Source organism: Homo sapiens, chromosome 14 (genome assembly GCF_000001405.40).
Source record: "Homo sapiens chromosome 14, GRCh38.p14 Primary Assembly".
Taxonomy (NCBI): domain Eukaryota; kingdom Metazoa; phylum Chordata; class Mammalia; order Primates; family Hominidae; genus Homo; species Homo sapiens.
Genome location: NC_000014.9, coordinates 53,940,871 through 53,949,591, shown reverse-complemented (window position 1 = coordinate 53,949,591; position 8,721 = coordinate 53,940,871). Strand labels below are relative to the sequence as shown.

General features: G+C 41.4%; 1 non-coding gene across 1 annotated transcript, besides 8 other annotated features; it reads left to right on the top strand.

The window, feature by feature from the left end:
• Positions 1,108 to 1,165, top strand: MIR5580 (microRNA 5580). Its single transcript, NR_049843.1, has one exon. It is a non-coding gene; the product is annotated as a microRNA 5580 (primary transcript).
• Positions 2,693 to 2,742: a silencer, noted in NCBI's record as "silent region_5756". NCBI's record gives its function as "represses an Ori minimal core promoter by ATAC-STARR-seq in GM12878 lymphoblastoid cells {active_cell/tissue: GM12878}" and the evidence as "EXISTENCE:reporter gene assay evidence [ECO:0000049][PMID:35858748]".
• Positions 2,693 to 3,243: a biological region, named in NCBI's record as "H3K27ac-H3K4me1 hESC enhancer GRCh37_chr14:54413067-54413597".
• Positions 2,713 to 3,243: an enhancer, noted in NCBI's record as "H3K27ac-H3K4me1 hESC enhancer chr14:54413067-54413597 (GRCh37/hg19 assembly coordinates)". NCBI's record gives its function as "activates a minimal SCP1, AML or CMV promoter by ChIP-STARR-seq in naive and primed H9 embryonic stem cells {active_cell/tissue: H9 hESC(naive and primed)}" and the evidence as "EXISTENCE:reporter gene assay evidence [ECO:0000049][PMID:30033119]".
• Positions 3,244 to 3,776: an enhancer, noted in NCBI's record as "H3K27ac-H3K4me1 hESC enhancer chr14:54412534-54413066 (GRCh37/hg19 assembly coordinates)". NCBI's record gives its function as "activates a minimal SCP1, AML or CMV promoter by ChIP-STARR-seq in naive H9 embryonic stem cells {active_cell/tissue: H9 hESC(naive)}" and the evidence as "EXISTENCE:reporter gene assay evidence [ECO:0000049][PMID:30033119]".
• Positions 4,117 to 5,561: an enhancer, noted in NCBI's record as "rs4444235 enhancer". NCBI's record gives the evidence for it as "EXISTENCE:reporter gene assay evidence [ECO:0000049][PMID:22158048]".
• Positions 4,117 to 5,866: a biological region, named in NCBI's record as "enhancer downstream of BMP4".
• Positions 5,240 to 5,866: an enhancer, noted in NCBI's record as "NANOG-H3K27ac hESC enhancer chr14:54410444-54411070 (GRCh37/hg19 assembly coordinates)". NCBI's record gives its function as "activates a minimal SCP1, AML or CMV promoter by ChIP-STARR-seq in primed H9 embryonic stem cells {active_cell/tissue: H9 hESC(primed)}" and the evidence as "EXISTENCE:reporter gene assay evidence [ECO:0000049][PMID:30033119]".
• Positions 5,867 to 6,494: an enhancer, noted in NCBI's record as "OCT4-NANOG-H3K27ac hESC enhancer chr14:54409816-54410443 (GRCh37/hg19 assembly coordinates)". NCBI's record gives its function as "activates a minimal SCP1, AML or CMV promoter by ChIP-STARR-seq in primed H9 embryonic stem cells {active_cell/tissue: H9 hESC(primed)}" and the evidence as "EXISTENCE:reporter gene assay evidence [ECO:0000049][PMID:30033119]".

Below are 8,721 nucleotides of genomic sequence, written 5' to 3'. Positions count from 1 at the left end.
GAAGTAAACTGTTGGCAGAGAGAGATGGTAATTGCCAGCATGAATTGTTTTCTATTTCTATTTAATGTTAACAAGGATGCAGTATCCTCTCCCATCTGGATGACACATGCCTTGGAGAAACACTGGGATGAAAGGAGTGTAGGTCAGATTAAAGACTTCATTTCAGGCCCCTTGTACATCTTCTGTTTCACTCACCTGTTGAGGTGTATCACAGCTGAGCGTGATGAGGTCTCAACCCTAGAAAAATGATACCCACCTCTGCTTTCATGATACCTCAGGGTATCTCCAGTTATTACAGGTACCAATGTGATATTTCCAAATCAAAACTAATTTGTACACTAACATCATAATGTGTGTGTGAAGGCATGTTTTTAAACTTATTTTTTTTTTCTCCAGGTAGGACTCTTTTGTTTTTTCTTTTGTCTTTTTTTTTTTTTGAAACAAGTTCTCTCTTTGTTGCCCCAGGCTGGTCTTGAACTCCTGGGCTCAAGCAATCTTCTCATTTCGGCCTCTTTGGGATTACAGGCATGCACTGCTATTTTGTCTTTTTTTTTTTTTTTTGTAACAAATAATGTACCCTACCTTCAAAAAGTTTGATGACTACTGTTTTAATATGCCACTTGATAGAATTTCCCATTGTTTCTTGACTTTTTCCCTTGTCCTCTTTTCCCAATGTGAAGGCCTTCATCAAGTTTAGGATCCCAACAGATTGGGCTGGGTGGGGGTTGACAATGGGGTCAGATACTAAAGGGTCAGAATTTCTAAGCAGGCACTGTGAAGGTGTCCCACTATTATACAGAAATCTCGAGTCAAATGTCAACTCTCCTTTTCGCTCTGTACTGCCTCCCTCACACCCTCTTCCCTGGACTTGGGCAGAAAGAGGTAGATCTGATGTTCTGTGCTAGGGTTTCTTAAAGGGAAAAGCTCAATTTTTGGACAAAGTTAATAAAAAGGAGGATGCTAATGTACCCTCAGTTAAGGGCTCCCAGCAGGCAGATAAATGCCTTTCTGGAATGACGGGTGTAGGGATTAAGAGGAGCAGAGGAGAGGCCTTTGCTTTTTCTTACTTGCCACCAACAACTAAATTAAGCCTTGAATCTTGGTCTGTGCTGGCTCATTTCATATGTGTGCTGAGAAAATTCACACATATGAAGTGAGCCAGCACAGACCAAGATCCCTTTGGATCCCTTTGGAGCAGAAACATTTAGTGTCTTTGTATGTTCTCTGTGGGGAAGGCTGATAGCGCATTTCTCCATCATGAAGGTGTAGATATGAGCGGTAGTATTGCTGTTGCTGGTGGTGTGTGCACCCAAAGAATGTGTGTGGTGCACACTCCTGGCGTTTGCATTTTTCTAGGTGGGGTGTGCACCCTTGCATTCTTGTACACACTTTCTTACATACGCTCCTGGGAGTGGAGTGGGTGAAGCAGGATTCATTTTTGTTTTTAATTACTGAAGTCCTACACTCCTCCAAAAGGAGCAGCTTAGTGGAAACCAATAAAAATTGAAGCGGGGTGGTTGCCAAAACCCCAGCTCCCCGGAGAGCGCAGGTGGAGAGAAGACATCAGAGCCCCAGGCAAAGGCAGCAAGACTACACAGTTCCTCCAAAACTCCCCGCAAAAAGGGATCCTTCCCCCACCCCTCCAACCCCCCAGGTCGCTGCCCCTTTGATTAATGGTATGGAGCTCAAATAAATCATTTAGGGAAGCCCCTTATAGATTGCCCTCAGGCAGCCTCATTTTGTTTTGCCCAATTTCTAGCAACTTTCTGAAACGTCGATGTCATTGAAAAGGAACCAGTAGATCTCCAGTACTTGAACAAATTATCCTAGGGCCAGTACTGAGCCCTGTGGCTGTCCAGTTCTAGCAACCAGCCCCTTCCTCCATCCTCCCCGCTCCTACTGGCTTATTTTCAGGAATGGATAATGTTGTTTATTTGTTCAGCCAAATATTTGGTCTGGGGAATTTACCGTGAAATTCTGTGAATTGCATATACCTAGTTAACAAAATAGTCCTAATGCCACAAATGTTAGCATGGAAAACAAAGAGCTATGGCCAGCGTTAACTCTTTAAATTCTGTTTGAAAGCTTAGTCCTGAGACCCGGGGAGATTAAAAAAAAAATAAAAAAAATTGGATGTGTGTGATTTAGGTTTCGGCATTTACTATTTTTGCCTAATATTCAGTTCAGTACCTGACGGAAGTCGTAGGGTGATTCTCGGCGTTGCTTTTGGATCAAGCCTACCATTTCACCCCATTCATGTTTTTTTTTTTTTTTTTTCTCCAGAGTAATGTTCCTATTACTGAAAGAAAGATGGGGAGGGAAGCTCGCCCTTGAGGAGTTCGGCAAAGTCGTAACCACATCAGAGGAGCTGCTTGGTCGATCCCTACCCAACCCTTAAACTGGAACCGGCTTCCTAGGAGCTTAAAAAAAAAAAAAAAAGGTTGGGGGGGTGTGGAGTGGGACGCATCAAACATTCCCCTGCTTTCGTTGCATAATTCGCCCAGAACCTGCCAGGTGACCTGCTGACTTTGTTTTCTGTCTTGACCGTGCTTCGTTCCACACCCCCCTCGCCGCCGGGCAGCGCCACACTGAGAGGGCTCGGCGCGTCCGCGGCGCGGGCAGACCCCAGTAGTCACCCGGCCTTGGACTGGCGTCAAGATCCAGCCCCGCCGACCCCGCCTCCCGCCCGCTCTGGAGCTCCCAGGCCCGGCGGCGGCGGGGGCACCAGGGGGCGTCCTCCCTGCGGGGGACCAGGGGGACCGTGCACCTGGCGACGGCCCGCGGGAGCCGCGCGGCAGGCGGCCACCCCTCCCCATCCCCGCCGACCGCGGACTGCGGGTCCCCCAGCCCGGGCCCGAGAGCCGGCCCGCTCATCCGCCCTCGGGGACCCAGGCCTCAGGTGAAGCTCTGCAGACACAGACGGATCTGATTAGCGCTCGCTGGTCCTTGGGGCGGTCGCTCTGCAGATTTCATGCGAAATGGGGTCAAAAGGCCGCGCAGAAGCGTGGAGTCTGCAGGGGAAGGCTCCCCGGGGTGGAGGGGCTTAAGAGGGGTCGAGACCTTTAGGGGTTTTCTGTAGGGGGCAGAGAGCGGGAATTAGGGAGCGAGGCTCTCCTGCCTCCGAGCTCACAGTGGGCCTGCATATGGGGGTGACTCAATGGGAGCGGGGACGTGGGCGAGTGGGAAACAGGCCCGCTGGGTGAGGGTCGGACCTGCAGACTGGCCCTGAAGGCTGAGCCGCTGTCTTGGGCCCCTTGGGGACACGGAGAGCCCTGGGTCCCAGCTGAACTGCAGCCAGGGCCCCGCTCCCCAACAGTCGGGGGACGGAGGTGAACGGGAGAGGCCACGGGTGTGCAAGAGTGGAGCTGGACGATTGCTTTCAGAAATGAGATGCCAAGCCATGATACATAATGACAGCACCTCAGCTGACCTCCGCAGGGCCTCTGGACCGGGGACTCACCGTGCCCGCCCCCACTCCCTCTCCAAAGGTGAGCCAGGAGCATAAAGCTTATCCCAGGCCCAGGTCTCCGAACTATTTGTCATCAAAGATACTTTTGCTTCAACACAAAACCAATTTTACAAACTATTCACATACTCTCTTTTGAAAAGGAAAAGAATAATGCAAATGCAACGTTGGTGACCTTACATTACCTGGGAATCAGAAGGTTATTAGTATTCCCTAGGGGAATTTAGGATAACTGGTGGACTGCCAAATTAGAATTGATGCAAAGTTATTCAGGCTTACCTTGTGATACAAACTAGCACAATTCTGAAAACTATAACTGGAAATTAAATTCAGAGTGGTTAGAAATGTGGTCTAGGTGGGATTGCAAGGATCTCATTTCCCTATGCATTTAGCACCTAATGGCAGAATAAATAAACAGAACTGCAATGCTCACCAGTGGAGAAAAGTGGCTGATTTTAGGAAAAATGTCAAATTGCTCTAATGTTAAAAAAAAAACACACAGAAATTATTTTGAAAAAGGAGTCAAAAGTTCAAGGTGTGCAACTTTGAGTCAATTCTAGAAAAAAATCTAAAATTTTTTTTCAGCTTGGAAGCCATTTGAAATTACCATTCATAAGTCACTTTATTTAAAGCATTAACTGCAGCAAGTTCCAGTTGTTTCTGCTTTCGCTCGCTCTTCAAAATATTCTTTATAAACTAAGTGAAAATATAAAAGTTATAGTATGCTGTTCAGAACAAACAATTCAGAAAATACTGTCGGATTCCAAAATGTTTACCTCAAAAATGTGAAATTTGAGGAAAAGAAGACAAGATGGAAGAATAATTTGCTGCGTTGTGTTACTAATGAGAATTTCTGAAGTCCAGCTTTCAGTCAGTTTTGCCACATTTTCTAAAGAAAAGATCTCATTGATCTTTTAACTTTTTATAGCTTGATTTCTAGCAAAAATATTTTTAAATGACTACAAAGTTCCCTACCCCAAATCCTGGAACCTGGTAGCCTGGTGCAAGTAGATTCTAGTTTTGCAAAATTTCATTACTGTTACTTTAGCAATATGTTTTTTCCAGTTTTATTAACTGAAGCCCTCATCAGCAGATAATTCTCTAAACAGTCTAAAGCACACTGATTGAGATTTTAATTGGCTAGACTCAATAGTTTAGTCCTGTAATTATTTCTCTCTCCCTAAGGTACCAGCAAGTGATTCCATCCTGCATATAGTTGTCCATGATTGGGTTAAGAAAATGTACAACTGTGTTCAACTCAAGCTTCATGCTGATTTAATCTTTTAATCCTTGTCATTTGGTTTTCAAAGCAGTTTGTTTCTGAGGTAGGACCTAGGCAAAGAGGCCAAAGATATGGACCTTACAAGAGAGAAAGAGATGAGGGGTGGTATGGTTAAGGCTACACCCAATGTTCCCTGAATTCATTTATAATTCAAATGTAGAAAAATGTCTATCTTTTGAGAACTGACTTATACACCTTCTTTGATTGGTCAGTAAAAGCTACATAACCCAAAGTGTTAACTTAGCTCCAGAAAGCTCAGACCCAAGCATTTAATGTCCAATTGCAATGTTTCCTTCCAGCTGGATATACACAACTTTTTCCTTCTATTGTTTCTAAAATGTAGTAAAATGACATTCAGATTCCTTTTTGAGAAAGCGAGTTTACTTACAATCCCATCCTCCTAAAACAACTACTTAGGTTTTTGTTTTCTTCTAGTCTTTGTTCATATGTTTATGTTTTCCTATAGCGTTTGTGTTCTGTTTTTCTTAATTTCGGATTAATATTATAACCTTAACATATGTTAAATCCTAAATGTATGGTTTATACATATGTCAGTGTGGATCACCTCCACTCCTTTGTGAGAAAGTTGGCTGGGTATAAAACTTAAATGTTTAACCTCAAGCAATTTTAAGCTGCCTGGACATAGTATCAGGGCTGTGGGCATCATGTCCAAATCTTATTAAGATTCTTACTGACTTCTTAAGGCTCAGCTTAAGCATTGTGGTCCCAGTACTAAACAGAATGCTCCTTTGTGTGATTTAAGTATTCTGAAAAGTGGGTTACCTGACATCCCAGGCTCAGACATTTTTGTTGACTGAGCACATTGGAAGACTTGCATCCACACGATTTGATCAACTTGGGAATATATTCCTTCCCTGGAGAAAGTCAGTTGCAACCTGGGGAAGGAAGGACATGCTTAAAAGGTCTCTGTCTCATGCACTCAGAAGCCACTGAGTTGAGCAATTTCCTATTTGACTCAATGTGCGTCTCTCATTTTCATGCTTTGATTTTTTGCACTGGTTTTCTTGGTAATGAAGGGTAGTGGGAAAGGGAGGCAGAATTATCTAAATACAGTAATTACCAAATTGAAACCTATTCAAACAGCTAGGTTACTAGGTTCAGACTGACCTTGACACTTTCAACCTTCAGATTCCAGTTGGTTGGGGTCAGCCACAAATGTCGAGTTGCTGAGTGATTTCCACATGCTTCTTTTGTGTACCTTAACAAGGGCAGACAAAAGATGTTTTTCCAGTGGGACTCACTCTTTATGAGGCCTGACCCTCGAAGGAGCAAATTAATCTCAGGCGATTTTGAGGTTTTAGGGCACTAAGAGAATTTTTAGAGCATGGAGAAGTAATTTGTTCAATGGTGCCTTAGAAGAGTTAATTTACCTCCAAAAGGTGAGTTCCTTTTACTATCCTGAGTCTTTTACTTCCTCTGAGATCAGACTTGTTATTTGCATAGCAAAGCATTCCATTTAGCTCGAGGGAGGGGGTGGGGGATTGTTAACAAGGAAAGTCACTTTTCCCACGTCTTTCAAAACTCAGCAATGTGGTAAGTGGGTTTGATCAACCTTTCCCCTCCCCTAAACCCCAAAACGTCAGACTATTTTGCTCATTATCTATCTTGAAATTGACCAGGTTTTCCGGATAGAAGAGTTGTAGGATTTAGTATATAGCTGCTGAGAGGACAGTTTTGCTAACATTGTTTGTTTTGGCAAGTTAGTGTAGACTTGCAGGTGAAGACTCCAGAAAAGCAAACAGCAGACTCCACCAACATCCCTCTTCCCCTTTACAGGCATCACTTTTTATTTTTAATAAATCAGGGAGGTGCTTTTTAATAGATTCGTGACACTTTGCATGGGAATTATACACATTTACCTTGGTATTATGTTTCCCACTTGGCTGTCCTGCTTATTCCACCCAAACTCATCTATGCACTTAAATCACAGTCTCTGAGGGCCTACACTGTGTGTAGGTTATTGTTTATTTGCTTGTCACTTAGCAATTCTCAAGAACTAGCTCATAATTTATTTTAACCAAATATGCTCCACCTTAGAGACCCAACACTGTAAATAAAGGGGACTTTTCAGCATTCTAGAAGATTGAACAATCCGGGGTCCTAATTAGCATGGAATCAACTGGTAGTTACTTTTAAGTGTCTATTCTTTCCAAATTGGGAGATTAGTCACAGGGATCTGAGGGAAGAAACTGGACGTTTAATAAGCCCTATTGATAAGAAGGGGCAATTGTAAAAATACAAAAGTTTAGCTGCTGGAAGATAACCTTACATTTTGAGCATTTGTGGGAGAATATAATTCTAGCTATATCTCCCTAAGATCACTAATGTTATATAACAAGTCATAGTGACCCGAAGAAAAGTAAATTTAGGAAAATGTTGGCGGATGGGAACAGCAAGCAAAACAAAATGGTCTGTGGTCTATTCTGCATTATTCAGCCCATTGACAAAGTTTCTAGGCTTCTCTAGGAGAAGCAGGGCTCTGTGTTCGGTATGTGATGGGGTAGGGGAGAATCAGGAGGGGTCTTCTGTTTTCCCTAGAATAGTTTACAGTGAAAATGTATTTAGGTTGTATATCTATAATTAAATATAGAATTTTGACAGAATTTATCTCCCCTAACAGAATTTTAAATAGCGAAGTTTTTACTAACATAAACATGCATTTATAAAGAATTCATTCCATGGAGGAGAATGAGAGATGTTAATAAGTACAAACAAATTAATTAGAAAGAATGAATAAGACCTAGTATTTGAAAGCACAACGGGACGACTATAGGCAATAATAATTGTACATTTAAAAATAACTAAAAGGGTGTAATTGGATTTTTGTAACATAAGGGATAAGTGCCTAGGGGGATGGATACCTCATTTTCTGTGACATGATTATTATGCATTGCATGCCTGTGTCAAGACATCTCATGTACCCCATAAATATATATGTCTACTATGTACCCACAAAATTTTTTAAAAAAGAACTCATTCTATCTCTGTGTTATAATGCTGGGAAAGTTTTTTGTTTTGTTTTGTTTTGTTTTAAAGATATGGATATGTACATAGACAAAAATCTGGCCATTGGTGGGAAAATTATATTATAATGAGAAGAAAATGCTTCCTAGGTTAATTTAATGCAACACTAACTAAAATTTCTTTAAACATATTTAATGGAACTTGAAAGATAGTCACATGGACCAACAAATGGGGAAGAATATGTCCCCAAATTTTAAGGTAACAATAGTCTCCTTGTCTTGGCAGATGTGTACAAAATGACAATTTTTAAAAGTCTTTGTTATTAGGTTATCATTAAAAAAATAGATCAGTGGATAAGCAGATAGTTCAGAAATATATTTAAAATACGATTAGAATTTAACATCTGACACACTAGGAGCAAGACAGGCTTATAAGAATTACTAAGAAATGATACTTGGTAAATAGATAGCATGCAAAAGTGATTTAATATAGATGTGTATGTTACACTAAACTTCAGAAATGTCTAAACATATTAAAGAGCTAATCATATTTTTAAGTATAGGAAGCTCTATTTTTAAGTATGGGAAAATTGAATTGCCTAGTATCCAAATCTATCAAATAAACACACACATTCAGACTACTTATGAAATTGAGGGTGTTATCAGAAGTTTAAAGAAACTAGGTTTGATAAGTAGAATTTTAAAAAAAATTATAGCAAAATGTAATAAAAACAAATGTAAAAAGCAAAAACCAGAGTATGAAACATGATGAGTACTTGATAAATATTTACTATAAAATGTATAAATTATGGCTATAATCCCAGGTCATATGAAGATTTACAGTTAAAGTAACAACAGATGCTCTAGACCAGATGTTGGCAAACTTTTTCCATAAGGGGCCAGATAGTCCATATTTTAGGCCTTATGGATCATAGGCCTCTGTGGCAACTACTCAACTCTACCAGTCCTAGCACAAAACTGGTCATAGA